General features: G+C 48.9%; 1 protein-coding gene across 4 annotated transcripts in view, besides 2 other annotated features; it reads right to left on the bottom strand.

Annotated features, from left to right (window-relative positions):
• The window catches only part of SCNN1B (sodium channel epithelial 1 subunit beta), a 103,064-nt gene that overhangs the window by 63,785 nt on the left and 20,897 nt on the right, over positions 1-18,382 (bottom strand). For 3 of the 4 annotated variants that reach the window (XM_011545913.3, NM_000336.3, NM_001410900.1), the window contains exon 1: positions 15,073-15,208. The exons of the other annotated variant lie outside the window; for it this stretch is intronic. The gene's annotated coding sequence lies outside the window, so the exon portion shown is untranslated. Of the gene's footprint in view, positions 1-15,072; positions 15,209-18,382 lie in introns of those variants that run through there. 4 annotated transcript variants of the gene reach the window in all.
• Positions 14,976-15,492: an enhancer, noted in NCBI's record as "H3K4me1 hESC enhancer chr16:23313339-23313855 (GRCh37/hg19 assembly coordinates)". NCBI's record gives its function as "activates a minimal SCP1, AML or CMV promoter by ChIP-STARR-seq in primed H9 embryonic stem cells {active_cell/tissue: H9 hESC(primed)}" and the evidence as "EXISTENCE:reporter gene assay evidence [ECO:0000049][PMID:30033119]".
• Positions 15,493-16,010: an enhancer, noted in NCBI's record as "H3K4me1 hESC enhancer chr16:23312821-23313338 (GRCh37/hg19 assembly coordinates)". NCBI's record gives its function as "activates a minimal SCP1, AML or CMV promoter by ChIP-STARR-seq in primed H9 embryonic stem cells {active_cell/tissue: H9 hESC(primed)}" and the evidence as "EXISTENCE:reporter gene assay evidence [ECO:0000049][PMID:30033119]".

The raw sequence follows: 18,382 nt of genomic DNA, 5'->3' as shown, positions 1-18,382 counted from the left end.
AGCTCCCCTCCCATCCCTCCATACCCTGGCTCCTTGAGAAGAAAAAAAGGCCCTTGAGTGGTCTCTCCAGTCATGTCCCCACACTGCTCTCCAGTGCCCGTTCTCACGCTGGGCAACACCTACTTCTTGCAATCCAGAGATTGAGCTGCTGGGAACTACCAACCAGACACCCTGAGTGATTCCCTTAACTGCTGCCGCCTTTGCAGAGTGTTTGTTTTTCCCTTTTATGATTTCAGCCAGGCCCTGTGCCAGGGCCTCACAGGCATTAGCTCATGTGCCTCTTACCACAGCCCTGTGAGGAGGAACTGTGATCATCACCATTTTACAGACAAGGCCGCTGAGTTTCAGAGATGTTAGGTCAATTGCCTGAAGTCACACAGCTCAAAAGTGGCAGAGCTAGGAATCAAATTTAGGTCTTTCAGGCTTTAGAGCCCAAATTCTTAGCCATCTTTCTAGGAGATGACGTGTCATCATGTCCTTTGGGTCTGTTACCCCATCTGTGGGCTGCTTCTTGGGTCTGGGAAACCATGTGGGTGACCATAATGTTGCTCTGGTGGTGATGGTGATGATGGTGAGAATGGTGATGGTGATGGTGATAATGGAGGTGATGGTGAGGGTGATGGTGGTCATGATGCTGATGATGGTGATGATAATGGTGATGGTGCTGAGGATGATGATGGTGATGATGGAGGAGATGGTGAGGGTGATGGTGGTGATAGTGATGGTGTTGATGATGGTGATGGTGATGATGGTGAGGATGGTGACAGTGATGACAGAGGAGATGGTGAGGGTGATGGTGGTGATGGTGATGGTGTTGATGATGATGGTGATGGTGATGATGGTGAGGATGGTGATGGTGATGACAGAGGAGATGGTGAGGGTGATGGTGATCATGATGGTGATGATGGTGATGGTGGTGAAGATGGTGATGGTGGTGATGGTGAGGATGGTGATAATGGTTGTGATGATGGTGGTGATGGTGATCCTGATGGTGGTGATGGTGAGGATGGTGATGGTGATGATGGAGGTGATGGTCAGGGTGATGGTGGTGATGGTGATGATGATGATGGTGATGATGAAGGAGATGGTGATGGTGATGGTGGTGATGATGATGATGGTGATGATGGTGAGGATGGTGATGGTGATGATGGAGGAGATGGTGACGGCGATGGTGGTGATGGTGATCATGATGGTGATGATGGTGATGGTGGTGAGGATGGTGATGGTGGTGATGGTGAAGATGGTGATAATGGTTGTGATGATGGTGGTGATGGTGATCCTGATGGTGGTGATGGTGAGGATGGTGATGGTGATGATGGGGATGATGGTGGTGATGATGATGATGGTGGTGATGGTGATGATGGTGATGGTGGTGAGGATAGTGATGGTGGTGATGGTGATAATGGTTGTGATGATGGTGGTGATGGTGATCCTGATGGTGGTGATGGTGAGGATGGTGATGGTGATGGTGGCGATGGTGATGGTGATGATGGGGATGATGGTGGTGATGATGATGATGGCGATGATGGTGAGGATGGTGATGGTGAGAGGTGATGAGGGGAATGGTGGTGATGGTGACTATGAGGATGGTAATGGTGATGATGATGGTGATGGTAAGGATGTACCTACTTGATAGGGTTATTATGTGCAGATTAAATGAGAGGACTCAGGCAAAACATTGCTCCCTATGCCTGTACTTCGTTTAAGAGACAGGGTCTCACTCTGTCACCAAGGCTGGAGTGCGGTGGCACGATCACGGCTCACTGCAGACTTGAACTCCTGGGCTCAAGTGATCCTCCCACCTCAGCCTTCCAAGTAGCTGAGACTACAGTTGCCACAACATGTGGCTAATTAAGAAAAAGAATTTATAGAGAGAGTCTCACTATGTTGCCCAGGCAGGCTGGTCTCAAACTCCTGGGCTCAAGCAATCCTCCCACCTTGGCCTGCCAAAGTGCAGGGATTACAGGCGTGAGCCACTGCACTAGGCTCCCATGCCTGTTCTATAGTAAGTGCTTATACATGCTGGGTCAGCTGGGCTCCCTGTGCCCTTGGCCTCCAGAATGGGTTTCATGGCATCGCAGTTTATTAAATAAACATGTTATTTGCCAAACACCAGGTGGAAGGCATGAATCAGAGACAAGAAAGGGAAAGAATGGTGACTTTTTTTTTTTTGAGACAGACTTTCGCTCTTGTTGCTCAGGCTGGAGTGCAATGGTGCGATCTTGGCTCACTGCAACCTCTGCCTCCCAGGTTCAAGCGATTCTCCTGCCTCAGCCTCCTGAGCAGCTGGGACTACAGGCATGCACCATCACACCTAGCTAATTTTACATTTTTAGTAGAAACGGGGATTTCTCCATGTTGGTCAGGCTGGCCTCAAACTCCCAACCTCAGGTGATCCGCCCGCCTTGGCCTCCCAAAGTGCTGGGATTACAGGCTTGAGCCACCGCACCCAGCCGGTGGCATGTTTTTCTCTTAGCCCCTTCTGTTTCCTGCTCTGTCTCCATTTCCTGCCAACCTCTGAAATCCAGCTTTGTTTTTCCAGGCCCTGGTCTGGGCCACGCGTTCCCCACCTTGTGCCAGAGTTGGGCTGGCATAGTAGATGGCCTTGGATCCAAAACCTTGGGAGGGAGGCCCAGGGTCCATGGTCCCCTCAGCCCCTACAAAGGCCATCTGGCAGTAGGAAGCCAGGCCTCCAGGGAAAATTGAAGGCTGGGAATGTGGCGCCCTGAAGGCAAGGGGCTGAGTACCCTCTTTGTTGGGGGAGATTACAATCTTCACCCTCACAGTGACCCAGGGTGGTTCCTGGCATTGTGAAAAGCCGAAACCTTACACTTGGCTGTGGGTGAACCAAAGGCTTCGAGAGCCATGTCACAGAGAAAAAAATTCCCCTCCTCCTCCACACTCACCTCTCAGACGACACCAAGAAGCTGAGGAGAGGCAAGCTGGGGTGAACAGAGTGGGATCTACAGTCAAACTGCTTGGGTTTGAATCCCAGACACACCATTTGCTAGCTCTGTGTGACCTTGGGCAAGTTACTTAAGCTCTCTGAGCCTATTTTCTTTTCTGTGAAATGCAGACAATTACATTACCTGTTTCACTGGATTGTTGTAAAGATACATTGAAATCCTGCAGTGAGAGAGCTCAGTTTCTCTGTGTGTAAAAGGGGGATAATAATTGTACCTGGCCGGGCGTGGCAGTTCACGCCTGTAATCCCAGCACTTTGGGAGGCCAAGGTGAGAAGATTGAGTGAGCCCAGGAGTTCAAGACCAGCCTGGGCAACATGGCCAAACCCTGTCTCTACCAAAACAAATAAAATAAAAAAGTTAGCTGGCCGTAGTGGTGTGCACCTGCAGTCCCAGCTACTGGAGAGGCTGAGGTGGGAGGATCGCTTCAGCCTGGGATGTTGAGGCTGCAGTGAGCTGTGATTGAGCCACTGCATTCCAGCCTGGGCAACAGAGTGAGACCCTATCTCAACAAACAAGGAAAATGTAAAAATAATATTAATAATTAAAAAACTGTACCTACCCCCATATGGTTGCTGAAAGAATTCAATGAAAGAATGCACATGCCTGGCATGTAGTCATACTTAAAAAATGCTGCTGGCCGGGTGCATGGCTCATGTCTGTAATCCCAGTACTTTGGGAGGCCAAGGTGGGCAGATCACGAGGTCAAGAGATCAAGGCCATCCTGGCCAACATGGAGAAACCCTGTCTCTACTAAAAATACAAAAATTAGCTGGGCGTGGTGGCGCGTGCCTATAGTACCAGCTACTTGGGAGGCTGGGGCAGGAGAATGGCTTGAACCCAAGAGGCAGTGGTTGCAGTGAGCCGAGATCGTGCCACTGCACTCCAGCCTGGTGAAAGAGCGAGACTCCATTTCAAAACAAACAAACAAACCACACACAAAAATCGGTGCTTATTTTTATTATTATACTGTAGGGGAGAGAGCCATTTGGGCCCTATCAGAGTTGATTTGGCAAACGATAGCATGTGTTGAAAAAGAAACTGAGTCCAGTTCAGTCCTTGTACGTAAGGCAAACAAAACAACGGGGTTCCCAGACAAGGTGACCACACCTCCTCAAGTGAATGAGATCCTTTGTAGAGGGGTCTTCAGGATAGGGTTTTTAGCCAGCTGGATCATAAGATCCAACAAGAATACAGCCCTGCCCATTTCAGGCCCAGCCACCATTTGTGGGGCCCTACTGGTAGTTCAAGATTAGGGGTGAAGATGGGGAGGGGACCAGAGAATGGGGGTCCATGGAATTTACTGGAGGATGAGAGATGTGGCTGGGTCACCACTGTATTTTCAGTGTCTAGCCCAATGCTGATATGCATCCATCCATCCATCCATCATTCATTCATTTATTCATTCAATAAACGTTCACTGAGCATCTACTGGGAATTTGGACAATAGCAGTAAACAAAACACATAAAACCTTTCCTCTAAGTGTTTCAGTTCCTGTGAACTAGTGTTATAGCACTCAGGAAACACTCCCTAAATACTTTTTGAATGAATGAATGAATTGCAAAGAGAACTGCTTTGTATTGGGAAAGAAAGTATCTTCTGCCTTCCCACCCAAATGTAGGAAAATGTGCAGCCTCCTTCCCCTCCACCACAGCTCTTCACCAGGTTCTGCTTTCTGTGAGGGTTGGGGAGGGGAATCTGCCCAGTGGGCTCACCATCCTGTGGCCAGGATGGCGCCACTCTCTATCATCTGGTGCCAAGGGATCGGGGGAGGTGAGGCCCAGCTAGGCTCCTCTTCCAACAGCCGGCGACTTGTAACCAACCAGATTGTCATCCACTCAGACATTTGCCCTCTCTCCACTCACCCAAGGCCCTGATTCTGAGATTTCAATTTTCCCTGAATTCTGCAGATAAAGCTGTTTCTGGCTTCTCAGCCCAGAGTTCTCCCATCATGGCCCTACCCTCATCCCTTCTCCAAGCAGGGCAGGACCAGCATAGCAGCCATTTGGAGGTTATCAGAGCAATAGCCAGGGTGGGTCCAGTGCCTGGGGGTCAGCATGCTGTGCACTTGGCTTGCTAATGCCTCACGGTCCCCTCAAATTCCCCCCACCAAGTTATCCCATGGACTGGTGGGGGTCCACCTGTCCTGCAACTGAGCTCCAACTCCAGTCTGCCTGACTCCCAAACTCTTAACTGTTAAACAAACAGCCTGTCCTGGTACAGCTAAGGAGACTGGGAGACTTCTGCACCCAAATCTTGCCCTTAATGCTTTAAGGAGCCAGGCGAGGTAGCTCATGCCTATAATCCCAACACTTTGTGAGCTCGAGGTGGGAGGATTCCTTGAGCCCAGGAGTTTGAGACCAGCCTGGGCAATATAGTGAGACCCTGTCTACAAAAATGAAAGAAAGGAAAGAAAATGTTTTAAGGACAGGAATCGGCTCCCCAGACAGCCTGGGGTAAACCAGAACTCCCCTGGTCCCTTCTCCTAGGGCAGGCAAAGCTCTGCCTCCAATGTAGTGGGGTAATGAAGGCCTCCCCCTCCCTACATCAGCCTCTGCTCCCCCACCGCACCCCCAAATGCAACCAGGGAGGGAGGGTGGGTGTTGGGTGCTGGAGGCAGGGGTCTCTGCCCTGTACAGGCCCATGGCCATCTCTTGGGGCTTTCTCTGTCTTCCTAAATCTCCCCCTCTTCCCTATCTCCTTTCCTCTCCAACACTCCCCTCCTGGCCCCATTAATGAGCCAGGCATGTATCAGACATGTTTCTAAACTTTTCACATTTCCCCTCCCCACCAATCTCTAAAACAATCCTTGAAAGCTGCCTTGAAGTCCACAGCCTCAGACCCCAAGCCTCTTCATGGTCTCGCTCCCTAACCCAACCTGCCAAAGCCTCTCTCCAACTCCTTCTTGCTGGGGTGCAAACTTAGTCCTTGAGAAAGACAAAGGTAATCCCTCCTGGGGTAGGGGTAAGGTGGGATGGTGGTAGTGTTTTCCAATCAGGATTCAAATCTTGAGCTCAGTTAGAGAATCAACAACCTCCACACATAGACGTAGGTGAGACACCCACCTAGGAATTTCAAGAATCAGCCGGTGGGTGAGACAAAGCTAGTTTTGGGAGGGTGCAACCCAGCCCCTGCTTAAGGTCCTCAAATGAGTCCAATCAGGAGTAACTCTTGAGAGAGGCTACAGAAGACTTTCCAGATCTTAGTCCTCCTTCCAGATCTTGGCTAAGGAATGAGCTCCCTAGCATGTGGAGGGGAACGAGGTGGCCTACATTGGTCCTGAAGGTCTGAAAGGAAAGGGCCACATTTGCCAAGGGGCCACCAGTGGCTCCCAGTTCCAATTGCTTGTTCTCACAGTGCCGAATATCCTTGTTCTAACAAGTTGTGCCCAATGCAGAGATAACCACTGGGTCAATTCCTGCGGGTGAAATGGCAGATTCATAGGGTATGTGCATCTTCAGCATTGACATGTTTGCCGAACCGCCCTCAAAGTTAGGCCAAGAGCTTGCACCGATTTGCACCCTGACCACTGGCCTAGGCCATTCACTCCCTGGACTCCCTCATCCGAGGCTGGGCCATGGTGTGAGTTAGGCCAAGAACTTGCACCAATTTGTACCCTCACCAGCTGAGTTTGAGAGTCCTGGTTTTCCTGCATCTTCACCAACACTGAGTGTTACTCAACAACCTGACAGGTGGAAAATAATCATTTGTGGGTTTCTTTCTTTGGAGTGCAGTTGAGAATCTTTTCATCTGTGTGAATTCAATGTACACTTCTTTTCTTGTGATCAACCAAATTATAGCCTTTGCTCTTTAACTTTTTGGATGGGTATTTGGTCTTTGATTTGCAAGAACACATTTCTTTTTCTCCTGAGACAGGGTCTCGCTGTGTTGCCCAAGTTGGAGTGCAGTGGTGCAATCATAGCTTTCTGTAGCCTCCAACTCCCAGGCACAAGCCATCTTCCTGCCTCAGCATCCCAAGTAGCTGGGACTTGTGCCATTATGCCTGGCTAATCATTCTTTTATTATAGAGGTGGGGTCTCACTATATTGCCCAGGCTGGTCTCAAACTCCTGGCCTCAAGCAAGCAATCCTCCCACCTTGGCCTTCCAAAGTGCTTGGATTACAGGCATGAGTCACTGTGCTCAGCCTGCAAGAACCCTATCCATAAAATAATTATTGGTCATAACAGTGGCAAATATTTTAACTAGCTTGGAATGCCTGAGTTTATGTGGGTTTTTTTTTTTTTTTTTTTTTTTGGTCATGCAGAACATACTAACTTTTATGTAGTCAGACCCAGCAATCTTGAAGGCCTTTTATTATTTTTATTTTTAAAATAGAGACAGGGTCTCACTATGCTGCCCAGGCTGGTCTCAAGCTCCTGGCCTCAAGCAATCCTCTCGCCTCAGCCTTCCTGAGTGCTGGAATTACATGTGTGAGCCACGGTGCCTTGTCCTTCTGACTCTTAATCAGTGCTTCAAAGAGGATGTGTGGAGGGGCGTGCTTCTTGATTTGAAGTTATCTGCAGGATATGACTGTCCCCAACCTGAGCTTGACCTGGGGCCTCCTTAATAGTCCTCTTGTAGAGCTGAGATCATTCCCCACTGCCTAGGACTTGTGCCTTGACACATGCTCTCACGGGGGCCAAGAGAGAAGGCCCACAGGCACAGAGGAGCTTCTAGGAACAGGCTCTTTATAAGGTGGCTGTGATGCTTAATACTGAGTGTCAACTTGATTGGATTGAAGGATGCAAAGTATCGATCCCGGGTGTGTCTGTGAGGGTGTTGCCAAAGGAGATTAACACTTGAGTCAGTGGGCTGGGAAAGGCAGACCCACTCTTAATCTGAGTGGGCACCAGCTAATCAGCTGCCAATGCAGCTAGTATATAAAGCAGGTAGAAAAATGTGAAAAGCCTAGACTGGCCTAGCCTCCTAGGCTACATCTTTCTCCCATGCTGGACCCTTCCCGCTTTCAAACATCGGACTCCAAGTTCTTCTGTTTTGGGGCTCGGACTGGCTTCCTTGCTCCTCAGCTTGCAAACAGCCTATTGTGGGACCTTGTGATCATGTGAGTTAATATTTAATAAACTCCTCTTTAGCTATCTATCTGTCTATCTATCTATCTATCTATCTATCTATCATCATTTATCTATCTATCATCTATCCATCCATCCTATGAGTTCTGTCCCTCTAGAGAACCCTAACTAATACAGTTATAGTGGGGTGGGAGCAGGTCTTCAGCTGTCAGGGGCAGTCTTCACTAGAAAGCAACTCCTCTAAAAGTCGAGTTTGCCCCAGGCCCTCAGGTGGGGGCAGACTGGAAGCTGTAAGTATAGGATGGTGAGCAAATTTGGAAGAATAATAGTTCTAGGAACTCCACCAGCTCCCTTAGCAACTTTTCTATCTGAAAAAAAATTGGTTTCTTCCAAGCTCCAGGACCGAGAGGGACATGCCTTTATCTTATGATATACCCTCCAGATTATGTCTTTGCTGAGGACAGAACTCTGCACCATCCACCCTCCCTTCTAGTGCAAGTCAGACACAGACGGCTGGAGGAGATCTCATTTGAAGTTTTACACTAAGCCAGTGATTCTCACACTTGACTGTCCCTCAGAATCACTAAGAGAGCTTATTAAAATACAGATCGTGGCCAGGCATGGTGATTTACACCTGTAATCCCAGCACTTTGGGAGGCCGACGCAGCCACCTGGCCAACGTGGTGAAACCCCATCTCTACAAAAAATACAAGAATTAGGTGGGTGTGGGGGCAGGCACCTGTAATCCCAGCTACTTGGGAAGCTGAGGCAGGAGAATCGCTTGAACCCGAGGTGGAGGTTGCAGTGAGCCAAGTTCGTGCCACTGCACTCCAGTCTGGGTGACAGTCAGACTCTGTCTCAAAATAAATAAACAAATAAGATAAGATAAGATGAAATAAAATAAAATAAATTACAGATTGCAAGGCTCATTCTGAGAGTCTCTGATGTGGGAAGTCTGGGATGAGTGTGAGAACCTGCATTTCTGTTTTTTAGAGACAGGGCCTTATTCTATCACCTAGGCTGGAGTACAATGGCATGATCATGGCTCACTGCAGCCTCAAACTCCTGAGCTCAAGCAACCCTTCTGCCTCAGCCTCCAGAGTAGCTATGACTACAGGTGTGCACCACCATGCCTGGATAATTTTTAAATTTTGTACAGAGATGGAGTCTTGCTATGTTGTTCAGTCTAGTCTTGAACTCCTGGCCTCAATTGATCCTCTCACCTCAGCCTCTCTGAGTGCTGGGATTCCAGGTGGGAGCCACTGCACCCGGCTTGTACTCTGCATGTCTTTCTTTCTTGTTACTTTTTTAGAGACAGAGTCTTGCTCTGTCACCCAGGCTGGAGTGTAGCCTGATGATCACAGCTCACTTCAGCTTCAAACTCCTGGGCTCAAGCAATCCTTCCACTTCAGCCTTGTGAGTAGCTGGGACTACAGGCATGCGCCACCACACCAAAATTCATTATTTTTTGAGAAAAGGTCTCTCTCTGTTGCCCAGGCTGGGGTGCAATCAGATGATCATAGCTCACTGCAGCCTCAATCTCCTGGGCTCAAGCAATCCTCTCACCTCAGCCTCCCAAGTAGCTGGGACTACGGGCATGTGCCACTACACCCGGCTAATTTTTGAATTTTTTTGTAGGGTCTTGCTATGTTGCTTGGGCTGGACTTGAACTCCTGGGCTCAAGTGGTCCTCCTGCCTCAGCCTTGCAAGCAGTTGGGATTACAGGCGATGGCCACTGCGCCTGGCATTTCCAACAAGCTCAGGTGATGATTATGCTGCTGGTGGGGGGACTACACTTTGAGACCCACTGGCTTAGGTCATTCACTCCCTGGGTTCCCCCATCTAAGACTAGTCTACCATGTGAGTTAGGTCAAGGGGCATAAAGGAGCACAGGCAGCCAAGCGCAGCGGCTCATGCCTGTAATCCCAGCACTTTGGGAGTCCGAGGTGGGCAGATCACCTGAGGTCAGGAGTTCGAGACCAGCTTGGCCAACATGGTGAAACCTCATCTTTACTAAAAATACAAAAATTAGCTGGGCATGGTGGCGGACTCTTGTAATCCCAGCTACTTGGGAGGCTGAGGCAGGAGCATCACTTGAACCCGGGAAGTGGAGGTTGCAGTGAGCCGAGATCACACCATTGCACTCCAGCCTGGGTGACAAGAATGAAACTCCGTTCCCCACACCACCCCACAACCACCAAAAAAAAAAAAAAAAAAAAGGAGCACAGGCTTCATTCCAGTCAAAATAACGGCAGCAGTTGCTGTGTGCTAGATTCTATGCTAGGAACTGTGCAGTGCATTCACTCTGTCTTCGAACCCTCCCAGCACACCTGTAGAGTGGGTTTTTTTAGTACTAGTTCCACTTTACAGTGAGAAAACTGAGGCTCAGCAAGGGCTCACATGCTTTGAATCAGACAGATTTGGTGTCCAACTCCAGCTGTACCACTGACCCACTGCAAGATTTTGGGCAAGTGGTTTACTCTTCTTGAGCCTCAGTCTAACTCATCTGTAGAACAGAGATCACAAAACGTGACTCCCAGGGCATTATGACGACTACAGGGGTGATGATTACAAGAGAACCTGCACATACTAGTTACTCAAGAAATGCTCATCTCTATTCCTGCCTCACGCGCCATCACAGCCTCAAGTTCCTTTTCTCAATCTCCAGTTACATCTTCCTATCTTTCCTCCTACTCACCCTACTACAAAGTGACAACAGACTACATCACTTCTTAAACATACTTCCTTTGGTCATGCCTCTAGGCTTTTGTAAAGACTGTTTCCACTGTGTGGAATGCTTTTCTCACTCCACTGCTCCAGAAGAACTCCTATGCATCCTTTAAAACCCACCTTAAAAAGCCCTTCTCTTTGAACCTTTCCTTTAAATGTTCCCTTCTTGTCCTTGGCCAGAAAAGGTATTGCAGCGTCTTACTTGAAGAAGGGGCTCAAAGAGTTACTTTCCTTCCTTCTCCCTCCCTTACTTATGTTCCTACCACATTTTATAAGGAGTATAATTGGAGTATAATCCACTGTTACAGGGGCCAGGCAGGTGCTGATAACACCACCATTATCAGCATCAGCATCAGCAATGGTTAGACAGTGTTTACTTGAGTCAGGCACTGTACTAAGGGGTTCATGTGTGTTGACTCATTTAATGCCCAACATAACCGTTTGAGGCAAGTGCTATTTATTATGCCTGTTTTACCCATAAGGAAATGGAGTCACAAAAAATGCTAAACAATTTGCTTGAAACATAGGTTTTTTTTTTTTTTTGACAGAGTTTCACTCTTGTCTCCCAGGCTAGAGTGCAACGATGCAATCTCGGCTCATCGCAATCTCCACCTTCTGGGTTCAAGCGATTCTCCCACTTCAGCTTCCCAAGTAGCTGGGACTACAGGCACCCACCACCATGCCCAGCTAATTTCTGTATTTTTACTAGAGATGGAGCTTCACCCCGTTGGCCAGGCTGGTCTCGAACGCCTGAACTCAGGTGATCCACCCGCCTCAGCCTCCCAAAGTGTTGGGATTACAGGCGTGAGCCACTGCGCCTGGCCTGAAACTTGTAATTAATCCACTGCATAGCTGGGAGATAGAGATTGGCTGTGGAGTCCGTGGTGTTACCTTTTATATTAGCTGCTCTTTATGAATGAGGGGTGGGCCAGGTAGGGACTGTCATGCCCTGCAGGGTGCCTGCTCCATGTAAGGGGGCAGCTGAGTGTCTGGCCCAGAGTTGCCAGCTTTTCTTTTCTTTCTTTCTTTTCCTTTTTTGAGGCAGGGTCTCACTCTGTTGCCCAAGCTGGAGTACAACTGTGTGATCACAGCTCACTGTAGTCTCAACCTCCTGGGCTCAGGGGAGCCTCTCACCTCAGCTTCCCCTGTAGCTGGGACTGTAGGTACATGCCACCACACCCAGGTTATATATATATATATATATATAATATATATATATATATATATATATATATATATATATATATATAATATATATATTTGGTAGAGATGGGTTTTTGCCATGTTGCTCAGACTGATATTGATCTCCTAAGCTCAAGCAACTCGCTGGTCTCGATCTCCTAAGCTCAAACAACCCACCCTCCTTGGTCTCCCAAAGTGCTGGGATTACAGGTGTGAACCACCATGCCTGGCCATTGCCAGCTTTACTGATATCTCAAGAGGATCCAGAAATATGGAGTCTTATATGAACTGATTTTTAAAATCTTGGGAATAATCTAAAAATTTAAAAGTCCACAGGCCTTCTTTGTGACTTTTGCTATCTCTTGTATTCCAAAGGGGAGCACCTCAGCTCACTTCATTTCTGTGTCTTAACCCAGGACCAGGCACACCTTAGGCCTTTTGTAAGTAACATGACACTTCTGGACTCCACAGTAAGCTGGGCTTGGCTCTCAACAAGCGGAAATCTCTTCTTTGGCTCAGGGCTCAGTGCAAAGGACCCTCTGGTCTGTACTTGGGGTGTGGATGAAGTCACAAACAGTGGCTCTAGGCATCACCCCTGCGTCCCCCCACCACCCAAGGGCCATCTCCAGGTCTCCCCTGTTCAGGAAAAGACTTCCTGCTTACTGATGCTGATGAGTCCCTAAGCATTTTATTTACATCACCCCACTAATCCACCTAACAGTTTGGGGAGGGTGCCATTATTATCATGCCCATTTTACAGATGTGAAAACTACGGCTCAGGGAGGGGAAGGGAATTGCCTGAACTAGGAAGGGGTGAAGCTGGGATTATAATGTAGTGTCTCTGATTCTAGCTTTTCATCAACCCAGATCATGGGTTCCACCAAACTTTTAAGGGTCCTGTCAGTCTATAGCAAACACACTCTCTTTAGGCCACAGCCTGGACCTACAGTTTGTGGTACACAAACAGGACCCTGGACAGTCCAATCTGCCAGTCCGTGGTTCGTGGTTCTCAGCTCCTTCTGTCTGCTATTGGAGGCTGAGTTTGGCTTTGGAGGGCATCTAGAGAGAACCCCTGGAGGTGGCCCCGATGGAACCTCTGCCCATTGGGGCATGGCCAGGCAGAACTAGTGGCCTGGCTGAGTCTCAGCCTTAGGGACCTGCAGAGACTGCAGCTAGAGAAAGTGTGGTGTTTGTCCTTGGTCATAGACAGAATAGAGGTGTGTGCACACACCTGTGTGTGTGTATGCATGCATGTACACTTGCTTGTGTGTATGTCTCATGTATGTGTGCCCGTGTGTGCTTGTGTGTGAACATGCATATGTACACACATGTGTGCATGTGTGTGTGTGCATGCATTCATGGGTCCGTATGTGAGCAGTGGAAAAGAGAGGACCTCATCCCCTAAATTCAGATCCTGTGAAGTTAGTTTAGGATAAAGAAAAATAAATTGAACTTAACCCAGAGATAACAATTTATAGAAGATGCTGAAATAAAAACCAACCTGAAAATTTTTGTCACCTAAATTCCCATCGGTAGGCATTATCCACGGCGGGAATCCATGCAGCAGTTTAAATAAATAAGCTGGGTTTATATGCAGCAGCATGGATAACTGGTGATGAGAGGGCTCAAGTTGCAGAATGACATAGGTGGGTTGTACCATTTCTACTTCTAGTTCTATTTTTCTGAAACAGAGTCTTGCTCTTTCACTCAGGCTAGAGTGCAATGGTGCCATCTCAGCTCACTGCAACCTCCACCTCCTGGGTTCAAGCGATCCACCTGCGTCAGCCTCCTGAGTAGCTGGGATTACAGGCACATACCACTATGCCCGGCTAATTTTTTTTTTTTTTTTTGTAGAAATGGGGTTTCACCATGTAGGCTGGGCTGGTCTCAAACTCCTGACCTCAAGTGATCCGCCCTCCTCAGCCTCCCAAGGGTTGCATCATTTCTATTAAATATCCACCTACAACATTACTACATTACTAAGTATTTTACATATTTTCTATGGCTCTGTATATATGACTGTGTAGGTGGGGGAAAGGGTCTAGAAGGAAACACTCCAAATTATGAAGGTGTTTACCTTTGGGGAGCTGGGAGGGCAGGGGTGGAAGATTACAGAGGAAGAAGAATGGATCCCTGTGTTCTGCATGGAATTACACAGCTCAATGGGTAGGCAGGTTGGGTCACTCACGGATGCTGGGATCTGAGACAGGGGTGCTCAGGTCTCTGGGAGCTTTCAGACCCATCCACCCGGCTTTGTGAGAGCTGGGCTGCCAGGGACCAAAGCCAGTCTTGGTTGTTCTGCCCCTACTCCCTGGTGGAGGTGAGTGGGAAGATGTGCCTTTTGTGGACTGGAGGTCTCTGCTGCTTCCTCCCTAAACTCTGTGCCTCATTTTCCCCCTCCACGCTAGAGTGAGAATGTCCCTGTACTATATCCCAGACCCTTTCCCTCCACAGCACACCTAAGTCATATGACATTGTCCAGACATCAACTTAGCACTTGAGAATCCTCAGCGCAGACAACTGCAGGGCGTTCGGATCTGGCCTCCTCCACCACATCACCCCAAATGAAACCCACGTTCCCCGGACGCCACTGACAGCCCACGAGGTAGGCTCCAGGGTCGGACTGCCTGGGTTCAAATCTGAGCTCAGCAACTTGTTCCTGGGACGTAGGGAAGCTTCCCCACCCTCTGACCCTCAGTTTGCACCTCTGCAAAATGGGGACAGCAAGAGAACCACCCCACAGGGATGCCCTGTGAGCGAAGTTAGGTCGTTTGAGCAAGGCGCTCTGCTGAGCTGTGCCCAGCACGTAGAAAGCGCTCTCGAGTTTCATTGTTGTCACCTCTTGAACAACTTCTTGCCCCGCCCACTCTATGCCAGGACTTTGCCGCCGTCTCTGAGGTCCCAGACACGCCGGGGACCCTGGCCCCGTCTGCCTTCTGCACCCTGGGGGCTTTTCCCAGCCTCCAGCTCTCCCCTCCGCCCCCAACCCGTTCAGTCCCCAGGCCGGGTCCCAGGCGCCTCAGACAGGCACCCAAGCGCCCTCCCGTGGGAAACTGAGGCCGGGACAGGAGCTCGCGGGCCGGGGTTGGGCAGGAGAAGGCGCGCGCGCAGGGACTCCGGGCAGCGCGCGGGAGACCGGGTGCGAGCCAGGGTTCGCCGTCATACCTGCTCGGGCGGCGGAGCGGGGACACGGAGGATGCGCGCTGTCGGCGGTGGCGGAGGCGGCGGTGCGCGCCAAGCTGGCGGCGGCGGCCGAGTGTTGGTGACACTGGGACACCCGGCGAGCGCGGCGAGACCGACTGGGAGGGAGCAGGTTCAGGGGCGGGGAAGCACGGGGAGCGCCCGCGGGTGGAGCTTACTGGGCGCTACCGGCCTGGCCACACGCACGGTCCCGGCTCCCCTGGCCACCTCCCTCGCCTCCCAATAAGCTCCAGCCCCCACACGCCAGGTTCAGGGACACTGGACGCCCCCCGCACGCACGCGCTCCGCATTCTCCCTCCCCACCTCGGGACACCAGCGATACCCACATGCGCCACGAATATGTCCACAGACCCCTCATCCGAGTGTACCCCACGTCCCCTCAGTACATATCACAAGCCACATATATGAACACTCCATCCCACCCCACGCGTGTACCTGTCCCGTTCACCTAGGCGAAGCATCGCGCTCACCAGTACAGGCGCGCCCCCATCACATCCACACCCCTGCAGACACAGTGTCCTCTGGGCAAGTTGGTGACTTTAGGGGGACATATGCAGCCACTTTTCCCAGGAACGTTCTTCCCTCCGCCTCTTCCACCTCCACCAAGGTGGAGACCTCCCAGATCTCAGTCATCCCCGATAGGTCCTATCTTTGCATTAGAAATTCAAACAGCCCACCCCGAGATTGGGAACTCTGGCCCCCTCTGGAGTGCCCACTACACCTGTGCTCTAGCCTCAGGGCACTGGCGGGCCTTGCGCATTTCCTCGAATCTTCCCTTCCTTTTCTTTTCTCTTCTCATCAAGTCAAGGTTTCAGGACTATCATTTCAGCCACTTTCTTGCCAATATCCTTAACACTTAGTTTCCTGTATATTTCTCCATAGATTGTCTTAATGCAGTCATTCTCAAAATTTTTGGTCTTAGGAATCTTTTGTATTTTTCTTTTCTTTTCTTTCTTTCTCTTTCCTTTCTTTCTCTCTCTCTCTCTCCACCTCCCTCCCTCCCTACCTCTCTCTTTCTTCTTTCTTTCTTTCTTTTTTTTTTGACAGAGTCTCACTCTGTTGCCCAGGCTGGAGTGCAGTGGTGTCATCTCAGCTCACTGTAACCTCCACTTCCCGGAATCAAGCAATTCTCCTGCCTCAGCCTCCCTAGTAGCTGGGATTACAGGCATGCACCACCATGCCCGGCTAATTTGTGTTTTTTGTAGAGATGGGTTTTCTTCATATTGGCCAGGCTGGTCTGGAACTCCTGGACTCAAGTGATCCACCCGCCTCGGGCTCCCAAAGTGTTGGGATTACAGGTGTGAGCCACCATGCCCAGCCAGGAATCTTCTGTACTTTTAAAAATTACAGAATACCTGAGACTTTTTGTTTATGTGGAATACACACACACACACACACACACACACACGTGTTTTTAACACATATATGTTATTTTGTTTATATAATGATACTTTCCATATGAGAAACTAAAACTGATACCTAAAAATATTTATTAATGCATTACACTATAATAAACCCACTACTTGTTGACATAAATAAAAGGCTTTTTTACAATTTTTTTCTTTTTTTGGTAAAGAGAGACAGGGTCTCAATTTGTTGCCCAGGCTAGAGCGCAGTGGTGTGACCCCTGCAGCCTCAAACTCTTGGGCTCAAGCCATCTTCCTGCCTTAGCTGGGACTACAAGGTGTGTGTGCCACTGCTTCCGGCTAATTAAAAAAAGTTTATTTTTCTGGAGACAAAGTCTTGCTGTGTTACCCAAGCTGGTCTCAAATACCTGGCCTCAAGCAATCTTCCCACTTCAGCCTCCCAAAGAGCTGAGATAACAGGTGTGAGCCATCATGCCTGGCTGAAAAATATTTTTCAAAAAAAAAAAATCAGTGGGAAGGGCACTGTTTAGCATTTTTGCAAATCTCTTTAATGCTTGGCTTAATAAGAGACAGCTGGATTCTCGTATTCAGTCGGCTGCAATCTGTTGTTTTAGTTGAAGTAAATGAAGTAAATTCAGCTTCATATAACTTGACCCACCATTGCTTTTTTTTTCAGTCTTTTTTATTTATTATTATTATACTTTAAGTTCTGGGATACATGTGCAGAACGTGCAGGTTTGTTACACAGGTATACACGTGCCATGGTGGTTTGCTGCACCCATCAACCCATCATCTACATTAGGTATTTCTCCTAATGCTCTCCGTCCCCTAGCCCTCCACCCCCTGACAGGCTCTGGTGTGTGATGCTCCCCTCCCTGTGTCCATGTGTTCTCATTGTTCAACTCCCACTTATGAGTGAGAACATGCAGTGTTTGGTTTTCTGTTCCTGTGTCAGTTTGCTGAGAGTGATGGTTTCCAGCTTCATCCATGTCCCTGCAAAGGACATGAACTCATCCTTTTTTATGGCTGCATAGTATTTCATGGTGTATATGTGCCACATTTTCTTTATCCAGTCTATCATTGATGGGCATTTGGGTTGGTTCCAAGTCTTTGCTATTGTGAATAGTGCCGCAATAAACATACATGTGCATGTGTCTTTATAGCAGCATGATTTATAATCCTTTGGGTATATACCCAGTAACGGGACTGCTGAGTCAAATGGTATTTCTTGTTCTAGATCCTTGAGGAATCGCGATACTGTCTTCCACAATGGTTGAACTAATTTACACTCCAACCAACAGTGTAAAAGCGTTCCTATTTCTCCACATCCTCTCCAGCATCTGTTGTTTCCTGACTTTTTAATGATTGCCATTCTAACTGGTGTGAGATGGTATCTCATTGTGGTTTTGATTTGCATTTCTGTAATGACCAGTGATGACCTACCATTGCTTTTGCACTGTCAGGGAAAATGTCCACAGGTGAAAAAGGCAAATAACATCTTAGGATTCTTATGAAAGTGATTTTGACCTCACAGTTTCTCCTGAAAGGATCTCTGGGACCTCCCAGGGGTCTGTGGACCTCACTTTGAAAATCAATGCTTCCCAGGTGTATTTGGTTGTGACCATATAAAATTGTTGATATTTGACTATTATTGACCTATGAAAATAGCAATTTCGGCTGGGCGGGGTGGCTAATGCCTGTAATCCTAGCACTTTGGGAGGCCAAGGTGGGCGGATTGCCTGAGCTCAGGAGTTCGAGACCAGCCTGGGCAACATGGTGAAGCCCCATCTCTACTAAAATACAAAAAATTAGCCAGGCATGGTGGTGCGCACCTGTAATCCCAGCTTCTCAAGAGGCTGAGGTGGGAGAATCACTTGAACCCGGGAGGCGGAGGTTGCAGTGAGCCA

The sequence above is a fragment of the Homo sapiens genome, chromosome 16, assembly GCF_000001405.40.
Source record: "Homo sapiens chromosome 16, GRCh38.p14 Primary Assembly".
NCBI lineage: Eukaryota > Metazoa > Chordata > Mammalia > Primates > Hominidae > Homo > Homo sapiens.
This window is presented reverse-complemented; position numbering and strand designations above follow the sequence as displayed.